Source organism: Homo sapiens, chromosome 21 (assembly GCF_000001405.40).
Source record: "Homo sapiens chromosome 21, GRCh38.p14 Primary Assembly".
NCBI classification, from domain to species: Eukaryota; Metazoa; Chordata; class Mammalia; order Primates; family Hominidae; genus Homo; species Homo sapiens.
In genome coordinates this window covers 30,457,841-30,475,708 of record NC_000021.9, presented here as the reverse complement: position 1 = coordinate 30,475,708, position 17,868 = coordinate 30,457,841, and the positions used below count along the sequence as shown (strand labels likewise).

Below are 17,868 nucleotides of genomic sequence, written 5' to 3'. Positions count from 1 at the left end.
AGGCAAGTTACAGAAGAGCCTGGACCATGCAGTTGGCTCATCAGGTATGATATTACACTCAGCAAACACCGACTGAATTAATATGTGTATTTACCTAAATGATCCATAATCTTGTTAAATATCTGCCTTTATACTAGCTCCTCCTTTACCTTGCATGCGCTGCTCTTCACTTCTCAAAAAGAGTTCCTACTCATCTTCAAAATTTAACTTAAGGGATTTCTGGGTCAAATGGTATTTCTGGTTCTAGATCCTTGAGGAATCGCCACACTGTCTTCCACAGTGGTTGAACTAATTTACACTCCCACCAACAGTGTAAAATTCCTATTTCTCCACACCCTCGCCAGCATCTGTTGTTTCCTGACTTTTTAATAATCACCATTATGACTGGTGTGAGATGATATCTCACTGTGGTTTTGATTTGCATTTCTCTGATGACCAGTGATGATGAGCTTTTTTTCATATGTTTGTTGGCTGCATAAATGTCTTCTTTTGAGAAGCGTCTGTTTATATAATTTGCATGCCTTTTGATGGGGTTGTTTGGTTTTTTTCTTGTAAATTTGTTTAAGTTCCTTGTAGATTCTTGATATTAGACCTTTGTCAGATGGGTAGATTGCAAACATTTTCTCCCATATACCCAAAGGATTATAAATAATTCTACTATAAAGACACATGCTCATGTAGGTTTATTTCCACACTATTTACAATAGCAAAGACTTGGAACCAACCCAAATGCCCATCAAGAATTGACTGGATAAAGAAAATGTGGCACATATACACCATGGAATACTACAAAGCTATAAAAAAGAATGAGATATGTCCTTTTAAGGGACATGAATGAAGCTGGAAGCCATCATTCTCAGCAAACTAACACAGAAACAGAAAACCAAACACAGCATGTTCTCACTCATAATTGGGAGCTGAACAATGAGAACACATGGACACAGGGAAGGGAACGTCACACACAGGGGCCTGTCAGGGGGTGGGAAGCAAGGGGAGGGAGAGCATTAGGACAAATACCTAATGCATGCAGGGCTTGAAACTGAGATGTTGTGTTGATGGGTGCAGCAAACCACCATGGCACATGTATACCTATGTAACAAACCTGCACGTTCTGCACATGTATTCAGAACTTAAAGTAAAATAAAAATTTAAAAAATTTAAGTATCTTCTCTTGAGATGCCTTCCAGATTCCAGCAGTCACTTGACAGCATCATGCACAAATGTCGCTTTTGCATAGAGGTCTTCCCTGAGATGCTATTGGCCTGTGGTCGTTTATATAGCCTTTTCTTCATAGCACTTATCACCAAGAGATGCTATACACTTGCTAGTTGACTCACATATTTTGTATCTCCCCAGGACATGGAAGCGACATATGGGCAGAAATTTAATCTCTTTTACTCATCTGTGCATCCACAGGGCCTAGAATAATGCCTGGCTTACAGAAAGTATTTCATAAAATATGTGCCAAATAAATCTATCATAGTGCCAAACCATTGGTTATTAATTTATATGCCAGTATCCTCATTGAATCCTGTGTCCTTTTCTTATAATAATATGATTTTATTGATGAAAATGTAGAAAAGCTCTACTTTTATGCTAAATTAATATCATGTTTTATTTATCTTTTCCATAGGTAGACATTAACTTCTGCAATGTGCTGGACGCTCTTTTAAGTTTACAGGCATAAACGTAAGCCAACTGCAACTGCAATATAGCTAGTAAAGATGGTTCATATTTATTTTCTGCCTTTCATGACATGTCACACATAAACTTCACACATTATAAGGTATATGATTTTGTTATTCCTGTGGAATAGGTGAGGAAATTGCACTTTGGAAAATTTAAATAACTTCCACAAACCATGCAATAGTGAGTTGTGAGGTATTATAACCTGTGATAAATTAAAAAGTATTTTGACTCTAAGCATAAGTTTGTGCACCTGAGCAGTGAAGGCGAGGCAAATGCCCCTAAAGAAGGTCCAATGTTTTAATCATAGGATGTCACTGGTCACATTTAAGAAGTAGAGGTGCCAGTCAAAATTCTTCTATGGTATCATCAGGAGAGATATACCTTGATCTCCCTCTCTCACTTTGCAGATTTATGTTCACCCATTTTTTGTTCTCAACTGTCTCTGAGAAAGAAGTTTTCCTTCTCCCCTGTAAGACTTGAGGCATTCATTTTTCCTTTTTTTCTCTTTCTTATCTTGTGGCTTATTGTTTTATTCACTATTACCTATCCTTCTATTTGGAGTTTCCCCTTGTAGGAAGACACCTGAAATTGACCTACCTGGAACCACCATCTATATTCTGGGATACTGTGCTTCAGTCTTTTAGAAACTCTTTGAGGTATTTGTATGCTAAAAAAGTAAAGCTCAGAGAGGCTAAAAAATTCCTAAAGTTGGATGTTTATACAAGGCAAAGCTGGGTTTTCAACCCAGGAAGTCTGAGTGCAATATACTATCTTCAGACATACACAAAGTCCTATGAAAAACACAACCAAAGAAACCAAGGTTAAAACCTCAGTGTCCTCTTGGTCTATCTTTAAGTTGACTGTCATCTCTTCCCCTTTTCTTCATGTCACTGAATGACCTAAAGGAATACTTGCACCCCCTCTGCATTCTCTCTCTTCCTCTGTACCTCATTTCTAGTGCAGTCTTCCATCCTCCTCCAATAGTCTGTCACCTAGTTGAAGCTAATGCAGTAAATGTTCCAAACAACTTCTTTATTGGCAAATCCAGTGTCATCCTCAAAGTTTTGTTGAGATGCAGTGTCACTAGGTGGTTAGGCATGAACTTTCTGAAGGCAAATTCACCTAAGTCAGACTGTCAGCTCTGTTACTTTCCAAGGTGACCTTGGAAAAGTTACTTAAACCCATTGGATTTCAGCGTTCTCATCTGTAAAACTGGGGTAACAATAGCAACAATTTCATAGGATCCTTGTGAGGATTAAATGAGTAACGCATACAAAACCTCAAAGCATAGCTTGTCATATAGTCTGCAATCAATATATATTAGTTATTGCTACTTTTATTTTGACACTATTATAATTGACTTTGTTTCCATTTTCTATTGCCATCATACTGCTGTGTTACATACAACGATAAGCTGTATAATAAGATGGTTCATGCTCAACCATCCAACGGCTGGGGGAAGTAAGATAGCCTTGCTGTTTGCTCACATGACTGGGGTTTGACTTACTGTTGACTGGGGTAAAAGTGGGAATTGGCTTTGCTCCATCAATCTCTCACTCTAAAATTAGGCTAGATCTACTTACTGTGTTCTCATGAAGATGGCAAGAGTATGAGAGCAAACTAGATTCTTGCAAGAACTTTCATGCTCAGAACCAGAACATCATCAATTCTGCCTTTTGGCTGGTAACACCATGTTATATGACTGTGCCAGGAATCAGAGTGAAAGAACATTTCAAAGTTATAACGCAAAGAGAGTAGATGAGAGGGAAAAGATAAAGCTTTGTATTCTACCAGAGAACCCACTGTCTAGCCTTTGTTTATTTAAAGCTAACCTCCTTTACTCTAAGCAGTAGTTGACAACTTCTCTGCAAGTTGTGGTGCTCGAATCTACATTCCCAGTCTATAGGAATGCCAGACACAATAATGAACAAATTATGAAGTTAGAATTTCAGATAAGTAATAGAAACATTTTTGGTATGTCTAAAATATTATATAGAGCGTGCTTATGCTAAACAAAATATTATTTATTCAGAACTCAAGTTTAACTGGGCACCCTGTATTTTTATTTGCCATATATGGCATCTCTCCCAAACCGGTCTTTCTTCTGATATTTATCTACCAGAAGAATGTTTCCAAATGCATGTCTCCATAGACAGCTGAGCTTAAACTTATTCTAACCAATAGATTCTTCTTCCCACACATGCACCCTTTTTGCTTCTCTACAAACCCCTTTCCAGCATTTTGATCCACCAAGTGCTGCAAAATTAAACTTTTGTGAAAATAATTATCCATTTATGTCCCTCTCCTCACTTATTGGCTACTAATTCCCCTTAACCTTGACATTTATATTTTTCTCAAAGATGGCACACTGTCTGCATCACCAATTCTTCTTTCTTATTTTATGTTTTTTCATCTCTTATCACAGTAGTCTCTACTAAGGATTTTCCTAACTCAAATTTTATTTTGCTTACATCTTAAGGTGCCATTCTTACTAGTTAGAAACTCAAAGTTCAAGTCAAACTGCTTGGATTCCAATACTAACTTGACTGAGGATTAATTCTCTGAACTTGGGAAATTTATTTTATCTCATTAAATCTCATTTTTGTTATCCGCAAGTTGAAAATAATCTCATTGTTTTCCCTGTAATGTGGTGAGGACTAAACGATCTATTATTTGCAAAGTACAAAAGAATGGCCAGGCAGAATAAATGGTAGACAATATCCATAATAATAATGATTATTATTACTATAATGCACTTATTCTTTTATAATACCTGGTGTCTCTATTTCATCCCATCATAATACCTTTTCATCTTGCAAGTCTTAATGTGCAAAAACTACTCTGACATCATAGTTCATGAAAAATGAACAAACACCCTATCCTCAACTGTATTCTTTTCACGTTTTCTTTTCTCACAACCACTTTTATCATATAATGTGATGTTTGCTTATCTTTCTCTCCTGCTCAATAATGAGCTTCTTCTTTGCAATCTAGATTTACTCAACTTTAATGCATTTGAATTGAAAATCATTACAGATTCATAAAGCTAAATGTATTACTTTATTATATCAGTCATGGTTACAATGCAAGATGGCTATTAAGCTTGATATGTTCCCATTTTAAATTGTATGCCTTATATGCTCTATTTTCATGTTAAAATAATAAGGGAAATAGTTTGCTCAAAAGATTTAAACAGCTCATATGAAACACCTGGATTACTTCCTAGGCAAAGAGTAAATGGAAAATATAAGTACAGTAATTTATTAGAACTTTTATGTCAACAGTCTGTACTGTATGAAGAGACTGAAACACAAGCCCTGTCTACCAGGCAGACTATTTAATAAGCATGCAAAAACTTTACTGAGACTATGGGTAGTTTGACGAACTGTGGGAAATCTGGGAGACTGGGTTGAGAAGTGGGATGCGACCCAGGGTTGTCAATATAGCTAATATAGCACCCAAATCAATGACACAGCAATAGTCTTGTTAGGATATTATTTTTGTCATTACTGCCATTTTTCTTTTTAGCCACCACTAGAGTGGGGCACTGCTACTACTGACATTCCTCTTGCCATTTTTTTCTGCTTCTGGATACCTCTGCTCTAGATACATTCTGAATACCGTTTTTTGTCTTTGTGTCACTTTGCTAAAAATCCAAGACCAGTTGAGACAGTTGATTAGCCAAGCTTAATTCAAATGCCTAAGACATCGCTACTGGGAGCAATGAAAGGAATTATCTAGTCCTCTTTAAGGTCTGCATTGGGAGCCACAGTACTGTCTCCTCCTAAACAGAAACAAGTCTTAGATACTGAGTAGCCTCACAAAAACAAGTCATAAATGTCAATGACACAGAGCCCAAGTTAGAGCAAATGTCTATATTTTCTTCCATACCAGATTCAGCCCAGAATATAAATAAGCACACTCTTAGTTAAGTAACAAGAGTGCTACTGAAATCTAATTTATTTTTTAACTATACCTCCCAAACAATTTATCCAGTTTTCTAAAGTGACTAAAATTCTCTGAATTAAACCTTTGCCTAGCACATAGGGTTAAGACTTGTGGTCATGGTGAGAATTGTAAATTCATTTCCTGAGGGTTTGGGAAAAGAACCATCCTGTACATTATTACCATTTACTTCTGGAATACTTTCCACCCACATATTGGGAGGGAAAAGGGAGAGGAAAAGGAGAAAGCAGAGGAACACACATGGAACCAGAGATGCAGAGTCAAGGGAAGAAACTCACATGGATGGAGTGACTCAGTAATAAAACCTAGCCCCCAAGAGAGGCCACGTAGTGACTGACCTCTTCAGGATGGATGTGGCAGGGGCAAAGGGTGGAGATCAAAGGGACATGGATAAGAAGTCAACAAAGATAAACCATGTCTACAAAAATTATGCCCCAAGCCTTTAGGTGATCTAAGTGTGTTGTAGAAAACACCATCAAGAGGTGTCTGCTTTTTCCCCTTCTGGCGAGCTCTATAAATCAGCAATTCAGTGAAGTGGAAAAGCATAGCCTCTGAAATCAGCTTACCTAAATTCAGATTCAACACACACACTTACTTAATAGCCATGATGACGTCGGGCATTCCATTACTTCAGCTCTCTAGGCCATCTATAAAATGAGGGTAATAACAATACTTACCTCATAGGGGATCGTGTTAAGTGAATCAAAACATCTAAAGTTCCTGGCGTATAATAAGTATTCATAAACACTTACTATTCTTAAGATTATTATTGCCAGGTTAAGAGATGTGTCTATCCCAGGGACTCAGCTTAAGTGGTTAACCCTTTAACAGAAGTTGGTTTTGAATAATGGTGGACAGACCATGATGTTTACATAAATATCTTCTTACAGAGAATGTCAGAAGCCATCATGTATAATTAGTGAAGCAAAACAATCTTTTGAAATACAGTTGAGGGATTACCTCATGTCATGGAGTAAATTTATGGGGATCTCAGTTGGGGTCAGATAAAAGCCAAGGCTTTGAGAATGGAAACATTACCTCTTACAGGCACAAGTTGATTAAAGGAATACTAAATTCAAACATGTTAATATTCAAGAGGCCCTCCCTTCCTGGAATCAAGGGAATATTAAAGGGTTCGAGGGGCTCATGTGCTATTTGAGATGTAAAGCCTGTAGGCTTTACCAGCCCCACTTCTAAGGGTTTACAATTTTATTGTACAGAGAACAGAGAGTGACATTTGAACTCAAGTCATGTGGCTTTTTCTACCCAGCTGAATTCATTTCCCTAATAGCTGCAGTCACTGACAATCTAGGCTTCCACAAAAGCTTTGGGGTGAGTACTGTGACTTCAATTGTTTAAATCACCATTCTCATTTTGGCTGTAGAGATAAAGACCTTGGCAAACAGGATAAAAATAAAATTCTGGCCTCTCTGTGGTCATGTAAGGTGCATATTCCCTGTAACCAGATCAACATCCATTAAGAAGATACTAACATTCCGCATTCATTGAATTAGAACCATCTTTGTGCCATCCCTGGGACCTGTGTTGATCGTTTGTGAGCCAGGATATTTAAAGTATGACATTTTTTTCCTCAAACTATTTTGGAATATGACTAGTTTGGTATTTAATTGTTGTAGAATAAATCTCAACTTGGATACCTTTCACATCATATTGAGTCTTCCAGGCTGCTGAATTTCGACCTCAGAGATACCACGTGAAAGGAGGTTTCCATGGGAAGGAAGAAATAAACTCACAAGGTGCTTTCAATGAGTGAGATGTGATGTGACGGAGTTATTGAAAGGACATTATTCTTCTGATGGATTTTTTTCATTTGAGGAGCATATCATAGTCAGGTTCTTTATGGGAGTATTTTGTTGGTATGGACAGTTTTTTTTTTCTTATTCTTAGTGGTAGAAAATATTAAAAGACCATAATATTTAAAACAAGTAAAGCAAATGTGTATCTAATACTCAGGAGCAGCATGGAATGCTATTTTAAAACTAAGTCTGTATCATTGAAAATAAATTAATCCAAGCAAATGATCAAACAAATTGATTTTATACGATGTAGAGAAATACTCATTTATTTATTAATTTTCTTTAATACTTTTCTTGCTTTATAAAAGGTTCAGTCTTTGGCAAAAAAAAATCCATATTAATGACAAAAGACTTGAAAGAAATGGCAACCTAATCTCAATAAAGATTTAAGCGATGAACATCAAGATTATGGCATCATGTACAACTTATTTGACCCTTTTGATTGTACTAATCCTCCAAATTAGAAAGTCAGTTTTACCTGCAGCTCACTTAGCATGGTGATTGTGTTTGTGCACTAACTTTTTAACATTTACTTGACCTTCACTCCAGTATTCAATTTGTAACTTTCATAATGACCATGTGAGGCATTATTTTTCCCTCTGTATTGTTTCCTTTGAATCTATTTATTATTGTTTCAATAGGCAATAATTTGTGAGAATCATGCTTCTTTGGTGTTGATTGGGCCTTCTAAATGAAGAATGATTTCTTGCTTTTAGTAATAATATATGCTGTCCCCATAGTCACCTGATTATAATGGCTGGGTATCTTTCAAAGTGAATTTAAATGATGTAGCTGATACAATAATCTTCTAACAAAAACCGATCTCATTTTCCTTTTGGAAACACCAGTCAATAATCTATGGTGACTTTATAAGTGACTTTATCAGTGGATGATTTTTTTCAACTTTTACTCCAAAGAGTGGTATAGTACATCGTAATCATTTACAGGTGATGCTCGTGGCAGGTATAAGTTTCTATAGGTCATCAAGCTTGCTCTCCCCATCTGTAAAATATAAGTGTTACACAAGTTTTACACCCAAGGTTACATTCTATGATCTTATTTCTGCCATTACTATTGAGCAGAACTTCTTTTTGAACATTCAAATTTCACTTAGAAAATAAAGCCAAATACCTTTTAAAAATGTAAGTCCTCTTGTTTTAGGAAAAAGGGCTAAGCATACTTATTACGTACTTATTATATTCTTATTTATAATTCTTATTGTTATATAATGTATGTGGTTTTTTTGCATTTTTAATTTTGTCTTAAGAGAATTGTGTATAATGCTGCTTGCCTGTCTTATTATGCATCTGGTTATCTAATAGGTAGCTTATGAGATCTGTTAAAAAGTGCTACACGTTTCAAGTCAAATATATGTCGCCAGGTTTACATAAGGTACAAAACCATAAAAATAACTGCTCTTCAGCGTTCACTGAAGAATCTAGTAGGTATTTAAATTTATGACTTGAAATAACTTGGGTTAACTGATTTTTATTTTTAAGACTTTTCTTCCTTTCATGAATTGATATTTACTGTAAAACAAGTGAACATATGCTTTATGATGAACTTGAATTATGATGCTTAGTAATTAGTTATTCTAGTGGGCCTCAAATCTAATCAACCGGGACAAATTTATTTGAATGTCGTAAAAAGTCCACCATTTAAACATGCAATTCGACACTGAATATTCCATTTGTATTATATTTATATGTATCTGAAAACACACACACACACACACACACACACACACACACACACAATGTATATGGAAGAAGCACAAAAACCTTTCCACTTCATGAAACTCCTTGAGTTTCTTGTCTCTTTTTTTCATGAGATACTAGTTGTCAGGATTACCCTTAGACTCCCCAACTTTCTTTTATTTGTCTAATTTCTTTCTTCATTATACATCGTTTAGGTGACTAAATTTCTCATTTTTTTCTCTAAAATTTCCATTAAACACTTTCAAAACAAACAAAAATTTCTTTATAACATGTTTGCCTTCCTAAGTTCTTCCTAGAGTATGGTATGTTTCTAAAGTTAAAAAAAAATAGAAGAAATGGAAAATAGAAGAACACATAAAATCAACAAAATATTATTTTAACAAATTGGACAGAAACAATAAGTGTCAAAAATATTCCTCAGTTTTGTAAATATCAAGTAAAGTGTTGATGTTTGAACAAATGCACATGTGTATTTACATCTGACTTTAAACTTTCTTCCTTATATGTGAAGACTATCCCTGCAGGCCATTTAACATATTTGTGTCAATCTTCATCTGTATCAATATTGAAAGGAATATATTCCTTGTTGAATGCAGATAATGTGGCTGAAAGGATTTTAAGAATCTAACCTAAAATCAAGAAAGAAATAAAACAGGAATATATTTTTATATGTGTTGAAAAGTATTAAAGTTGATTGTTTCTGCTTAAGTGTTCATCAGTTAGTGTCACTGACATTTTGAAGGTATAATTTCAAATGTATCCCCTCCTGTGTATTTTCTTTGAGTCTCTAAAGGAAGAGAATTGAATCTTCAGTCATCAAACTGAGAAGTACAAAGGAAACAAAAGAAATATTTTGTTAAATTGCTTTTACCCTTGTCATACAATGGGTAGGAAACAAGGAGTTTACTAGTTTCTCATATTTACCTAATTGCTCACTGAAAGTTAATCACAACATTTGTCTTTGATTTAGTGTTTAAAAATCAGCTTCTGTTAAGTTTAATAAACTCCTGTTTAGATGAGTAGGGTTTTTATCAAACTGTGAAGTACCATGATTAGGGCTAGATAATTTGTATAAATTTTTAGATCTAAGGAAAATTTTATATAACTCTGTCAGTTCTCACTTGGTGCACTTCTCCGCTTCTTTGCTTTTTCTGTTTGAGTAAAAGGTACTGAAACGTCCATGGGTGACTTTATAAAGTATTGAGTCGTTCAAAACAATTAATAGAGAGAAAAATATAGATGGAGAAAAGAGAAATGAGATTAACTAGCATTAAATATGCTAAGAAACTTAGAAGTGACAAGTATAATAATAGAAACATTGTATACCAAAATAGGACAACCATTGATTACTTAATTTAAGCACATACTTTAAATGCCTTACATAAACTCTGAAAACATTATGATTCCCATTGTAAGAATAAAGAAACTGAATCAGAGAGGCTAAGTAACTTTTCCAAGACCTCACAGCCAATAGGTTGTAAAATTAGGATTAGAATCTTGATCTAAAATCCATGTTTGCTCTTCTTACTACTTCTTGTTATTGCCAGAAAGCATGCATCAGGAGTGATATCTGGATGAGTTGTGGGCTGAGAGAGATGGTAGATTGAGTTTGTTGTCTTCACTGGTTAATTAGAGTAATTCACTGACTGAGTATAAGTTTGGTAAAACTCAATAGAGTTCTAAGACCCTGAATTAAAGAGAGAAAAAATGGATCTTGATTGAAATCATCAGTTTTTTTTACTAGAACATGCAGGGAGCCTCCAGCATAAGGCAATTGTGAAGTTATCTATAGCATTTGTTTTCAGTATACCTAATTTTAGATGGTATGGATACCAATAATACTTTGTGTTTGGTTGTTAAACAAAGGCCATAATCTGAGTAGATAATTAACAACAAAGTCACTTTATTGAAGGCAAATTCATAAGATCCAGGGTTAAAATAATGGAACCCAATCTAGTGGAATATGGTGAAGAGGGAGCAGTCAAGTAAGGAAGCCACTTTTCTCTCATCTTCCTCATACCTTTATCTCTTTCATCATGAGCTGTATAATGCCACAAACCCTAAGGAAGGTAAATTTTACAATCCTGCTGCTGTGGAGAATAAGGCATTTCATGGGAGATGAGCTAGGCTTTGGAAGGATAAAATGTTAAAGGATAATCCAAAAGGAGAGTAAACTCTGAAAAAGGGAATTAGCAGCCCTTCACAGAACATGCCCTTCACAGAACATGCTTTCACAGAATTGGCTGCCCTTCACAGAACATGCTTTCCTAATTTACAATATCTTCTGATTCATAAAGTCCACTTTCTCTGTGCTAAAAGTGGCTCAGCATTGCTAGAGGGCAGATGATTTCACCAGTAGAGGTAACATAAATGAGGTGTTTGTTAAAGAGTTATAAAGAAGACAGCGTTTGAAGGGGAAAAAATCATGGTTGTAGACAGAATCTGTATAACTTTTTCACCGTGTAACAAGCCCTATAAATATCCAATATGGATATGATTATAGACATACCTTTGTCATTTTTTGTTGTTGCTGACCAAAGCAAAAAAAGGCTGCAGTGATTCCTTCTGTACACCAGGGGGTATCTCTTACCACTTCGGAAACTCATTTTCAGAACCTTTCCATTCACTCACTGTCTTCCTCATCACCTAGTTGAGCTCCTGGCTGTGTTGTAAGACTGCTTCTGGTTTCTCATCATATTATTCTGGAGCCCAAACACTTGAAGTTGGCTGGGAGTTTCTACTTTAAGTATCACTTATAGACCAACTGAGAGCCATTTTATGATTGGAATAAAACTCTTCGAAAACTTTCATTATTTCTAAGCCTAAAATCTTTGTTCTGTGAAGCCTGACATTTCTACTGAAGTAGAAACTCTTGCAAATTAAGATGTTCACGACCCAGTTTTCCAAGACTCACGTGCTTTGTGTGTTATGCTACACTGCTAGTTTGCTAAGAATCTTTGGGACCTTACTGAGAACAATTCCCATTAAAATAAATGACAGATTAGAAATATTTAAGAACATACAGGGCCGGGTGCGGTGACTCACGCCTGTAATCCCAGCACTTTGGGAGGCCGAGGCGGGCAGATCACGAGGTCAGGAGATCGGCAGCATCTTGGCTAACATGGTGAAACCCCGTCTCTACTAAAAATACAAAACAAAATTAGCCGGGCTTGGTGGCGGGCGCCTGTAGTCCCAGCTACTCGGGAGGCTGAGGCAGGAGAATGGCGTGAACCCGGGAGGCGGAGCTTGCAGTGAGGCGAGATCGCGCCACTGCACTCCAGCCTGGCGACTGAGCAAGACTCCGTCTCAAAAAAAAAAAAAAAAAAAAAAAAAGAACAAAAAGAACACATGGAAAAGAATACGGTTTAATAGTTTGAGAAAAATAATTCACTAACAAAAATTCTTTCTTAAAGTTATTAAACAGTGTAGAATTTGTAAAACTACTATAATTTAACTCCTGGTTAACAGAAGAAACTACTGCAGCCTTTTCACCTTAGCCAACTAAAAGAAAAGGGGATAGTATAATGTCAGGGCACATGGAAAATGGAAACATTTAATATGAAAATCTTTTCTTATTCTTCCTTGAGGAAGCATGCCAGAGTCTTAGTGTACAGTGCATCAATATTCTAGAGAAAGAGATTTGTCAGCCAGGTGATTTTTGACGTTTAAACTTGAAGGAAACAGAAGTTGTGTCTCAATAACAGAACACATGATTTTTTATGAGCCTTCCAGTGCATACCCTTTGTAAGGCAGGTACCTCATGCAGATCAGAGTTAGGCAACATAATGAAAACCAGCAACTGGTGTAATTTCTGACGTGTGTCATAAATCATACTCCATTTGCACTTTGGAACTGTCCCTGCTGGCAATCACCTGCGTATTTGGGGGTCAAGTGGAGTGTTCATCTTCCATCAAATTCAATGCAAACTATGAAGCATAGCTTGGTGGCTATGTTGTGGTTTACTTCTCAAGAGAGTCCGGTGATTACAATTGAAAAAATCCTGGGCTGTCCTTGTGATAGAAAGTTTGGGAAAGAAATATACCAATGCACAAGTGTTGCTTAGCAACACTGCTTTCATAAGGAAAAGTCAATTGTAGAACGTCTCAGAAAGTCATCACTTTGAGTATACCATATTCTCATTCCTTTAGTGAAACAATGAAGGATTGGCAAAAAAGTACAAACACTTTTTGACCCCCACCATCAATGTTAAACTAGTTATGATTACCTGTAAGTTTCAATATTTATTTATTGATGCAATAATTCACATTTCATTGAACATGTACTAAGCATGTACCCCAAATATAATGTCAGTCACTAATCCCATTAGAACCCATTCACTATTTCTTAAAGAAATAGAAGGTTACACATACAATGATTATTGTGTCATGTAACAAGTAATTCCATATTTGTTAATGGCCATAAAGTTAGAAAGGAGAGCAATATTGTAGAAATCATTACTTGAAACATTGTTTATATAGGTAACCCTCTCTAATTATATTAAGTAGAATGCAATAAACATTAATGGAGTACCTACTATGTAATAAAAAAAAAATTGGGCTGGATGCTGTATTACGTTAAAAACAAAATCTGCCACAAGCTGACTTTCTGACTTAATGAAGTTTGTACTCAAGTCATAGGAAACACAGATGAGTTCCCATGGTACAAAGAGAAAAATGGTTACCATAATGCAAGCACCACTCTCACAGAACAGCAGGCCACTTCTGGGAGAAGGAAGGTAAGAACAGGCTTGGATAGAGTCTAACGTTTCAACATTTAAAAAGAGAACAACGGTACAAACAAAAGTAAAGTATATAAAAGTACTACATAAGGAGAAAGCAATGAACATTTTGGAGTGCGGGAAGAAATGAATCAGCAAAAGTAGCTTGGAAGCAAATCATAGATTATCATACGAAAGAACTCTAATGAAAAAGCACAGGCTTTGGCTTCAACAGAGCTAAGCGTGAGTGCTGGCTTGAAAGATTATTAGGTATGTGTCCTTGGACAAGTTTTGTGTTTTTTTTTTTTTTTCTGATTTCTAGTACCTAATATGAAGAGTTGTGAGAATTAAGAAAGAGCATGCAAATCCCAAACCGCATGCTTAAACAATAATAGCCAATGAGTAAAAGGGAGCCACACCCAAAGTCTCAGTATGTCAATTTCAAATGGCATCTTAAGTCGCATTCATTTTCCACAGCGACACATTTGGTTAGTATATTCAATAGGTAGAAATCCTCTTCCTTCACAAAGAATTGTTCTCTCATTCATATTTTTAAAAAATATAGAGCCCTTTTAGTAATGTTATTATTAGTTTTATTAGAGACTATGGCTTAATAAATATGAATGTTTACAATAGAAAGTAGTGCAAGCATACTGAAAAATTATAATGTCATTAGTGCTCAGTTCACAAGAAAGTGATGACCTGCAGTAAAATGGAAACAATATCTCAGGGTGAAAGAAAATATCTACAGATTAAATAGATTGCTGTCCTGAAAGAGTCATACTGTGCCTCACGGGTTTTTGTTTTTTTTTTTTAAGCAAAATATCTTTTAATCTCTCCATTTAAAAATGTTGAAACCTATTCAAATTTTTAAAAATACTGAAGCAATCAACATATGTCAGTTGAAGAAACACAGAACAGTGACTAACATGCAAAGATGCTTCATAAATACTCTGAACAAATGAGTGATGAGTGAATCGATGAATGATGCAGGCCCACTTTGACCCACAGTTTTTGGTTTCTGAAGTAAAGTGTGTATCATGTGTCTTAACAAATACTAAGTTGTCAAGAAATATTTACTATTGTTACTATTATTATTGGCAACCCAATGAATGTCTTTAAGGGGAAGAATGGTGATACCTTGACTTTTTAAGAAGGCAACTCTTGGCAGGGCGCAGTGGCTCACGCCTGTAATCCCAGCACTTTGGGAGGCCGAGGTGGGAGGATCACGAGGTCAGGAGAGATCGAGACCATCCTGGCTAACATGGTGAAACACCGTGTCTACTAAAAATACAAAAAAAAAAAATTAGCCAGGCGTGGTGGCGGGCACCTGTAGTCCCAGCTACTCAGGAGGCTGAGGCAGGAGGATGGCGTGAACCTGGGAGGTGGAGCTTGCAGTGAGCCAAGATGGTGCCACCGCACTCCAGCCTGGGCGACAGAGCGAGACTCTGTCTCAAAAAAAAAGAAGTCAACTCTTTTGTCATCCAACTCCCTTTTATGATTCAATGCAGAGACTAAGCTGATGTGGAAAGAAATTAGAAACAGGGAAATTACTGGAACATTACCTAGCTAGAGGTCACACAGGCCTATTTAAAATAGTAGAATTTAAATGAAAAGATAGGGTGGCTATGTGGTACATTTTAGGAGTAGTATAAAATAATCTGATTCTGATTGGTAGCGAAAATTAACAAAAAGATAAATATCAGACTGATACCAAGATACTCAGTCATAGTAACTGAAATAATCGTTTATATTAATTCCAATAAGGAGATGTAACCATAAGTTCAAATTTTAACAAGCCTGAGATATAAAATTTGAGATATTGATGGCTAACGCATGTGGCAAGGGATGCTTATGAATTAATTACCTGACATTTAGGACTTTTCTTGGAAGAACAGTTAAAATTTCAAATGCAAATTTTTTAATTGCCTGCCAAATTGATAGTGAAAAACAGGAAAGTAGATGGAATCATCTTGGAAGGGAATATTCTTTAAGTAAATGAAAGCCTGCTATTCCATTCTGAGAGATGCCCACATTTGAAGACTGGATAGAAGGAAATAGAAGCAGAGAACCTATAGTGAGATGGATGTGGAAAGATCCAGGACGATACCTGGTCAAATAAACACTTCACAAGAAGTTCAAGGGAAAAGGGTTTTAAGTAGGGAGCAGAGAGATAGTCCGATAGCACACAGTTTAGAAAGGAAAGATAAATTTCAGAGTGATGAAAAAAACTATTACGTTTAATAATGAGGGTGGCACTGGTGAAGTCTGAACGAGCACTTCAGTAGAGTGGAAGTGGCGATGGCCAATAGTGTCCGATAATGAAGAACAGTAAACATCAGACACAGGGGTTATTTGCAGATGACTAGAAGAGTCATTGAGGAGGAAAATAGGAATGGAACAGATAACTAGAATGGAGGCAGAGAAGGGGCTGAAGCAGATTTTAGCAGCTATTTTTTCTTTTTCATTCTTTCTGTGTTCCTATGGCAGACATGTATTTAATTTTACACCAATTTTAATTTGTTAAAATTTGATAGGTTTTATTGTGATTATTCTTGAATTTTTTAAATATTCATGGCTGTTTCTCTCCAAATTATTTTATTGAAAAGAAAGATAGGATATTCTGGCTACAACTGTGGCTATAGCCTTACATGGAGACCTGGTTACATCAATAATTGTGTGTCCTTCTGTCTTAGAAAATGGGGAAAAGGTGCAGCAGGAAGGAAAGTGACTTGCAAATGTATTGAGTTTAAATTAGAGTAGTTCTTTAATAAATATCAGTTGCAGAAATAGTATCTATAAAAAGTGTTGAAAAATACAATGTGAGTTTCTTCAAATAGCCCTTGATTTTTGGCAATAATATATGTTGTAGTCTTTATTTGACTGTGGTTTTAGGTATTTCTGAATATAGCGGTTTCTTACAGGTTTTTTATACACAATTACATGCACTCCCTCACCTAATTGTTTATATAAGCCCAACCCCAAATGAGGTTGTATATTACCAAGAGTACAGATATGACTGCAGTGATAATTTTTTTATTCTCTTTATTAATATTTTGAATGATTCAACCATTGTGGCTTTGTTTTTCTTGACTGACTGATTATTTGATTGATTTCAACTCACCAAGTAATCATTAGAATTTCACTAAGCATAAGGCACCATGCTGGATGCTATGGGGGAAAATGAATCTTTTAAGACATGATCCCTGTTTTAAAGAGACTGACAACTTAGGTTATAATAAGACCCAAATATTGCAAAACAGGTTTCAAGAAATAAGTCAGATGCTTAGCACTATTAAGAACAAAAACAAAACAACATCACTTTCTGTCATAATTCATACTTGTAAAGAAAATATGGAATTTTAAGAAAATGAACGTTCTAATATTACTTACCTGATTACATTGTAATGATTTAACTAGATACTACATACGTTTAGCACAGTGTCTGGCACAAGTCATTCTTTTTTTTTTTTTTTTTTTTTTTGAGATGGAGTCTCGCTCTGTCGCCCAGGCTGGAATGCAGTGGTGCCATCTCAGCTCACTGCAAGCTCCGCCTCCTGGGTTCACGCCATTCTCCTGCCTCAGCCTCCCGAGTAGCTGGGACTACTGGTGCCCGCCACCACGCCCAGCTAATTTTTTCTTTTTTTGTATTTTTTACAAAAAAAATACAAAAATAGACGGGGTTTCACTGTGTTAGCCAGGATGGTCTCGATCTCCTGACCTCGTGATCCACCCGCCTCAGCCTCCCAAAGTGCTGGGATTACAGGCGTGAGCCACCGAGCCTAGCCTGGCACAAGTCATTCTTAATGTAAACATGACTTGGGAAAGTTTCTGAAGTGTGCCAACTCTTCATTTCTTTATGCATTCAGCCAATACGATTAGGGCACAGACTGGAATCATGCTCTGTAGAGGCATTAAGTATTAAGCAGGGGACAAAGCAGACCCTTGTGAAGTATATGTT

At 36.1% G+C, this 17,868-nt stretch overlaps 1 long non-coding RNA gene across 2 annotated transcripts in view; it reads left to right on the top strand.

The window, feature by feature from the left end:
• The window catches only part of LOC105372772 (uncharacterized), an 82,493-nt gene continuing 64,625 nt past the window's right edge, over positions 1-17,868 (top strand). The window contains exons 1-3 of one of the 2 annotated variants that reach the window (XR_937653.3): positions 1-44; positions 1,634-1,689; positions 2,251-2,345. This is a non-coding gene — a long non-coding RNA (uncharacterized LOC105372772). The remainder of the gene's footprint in view (positions 45-1,633; positions 1,690-2,250; positions 2,346-17,868) is intronic. The other variant, XR_937654.3, reaches the window with a different exon arrangement.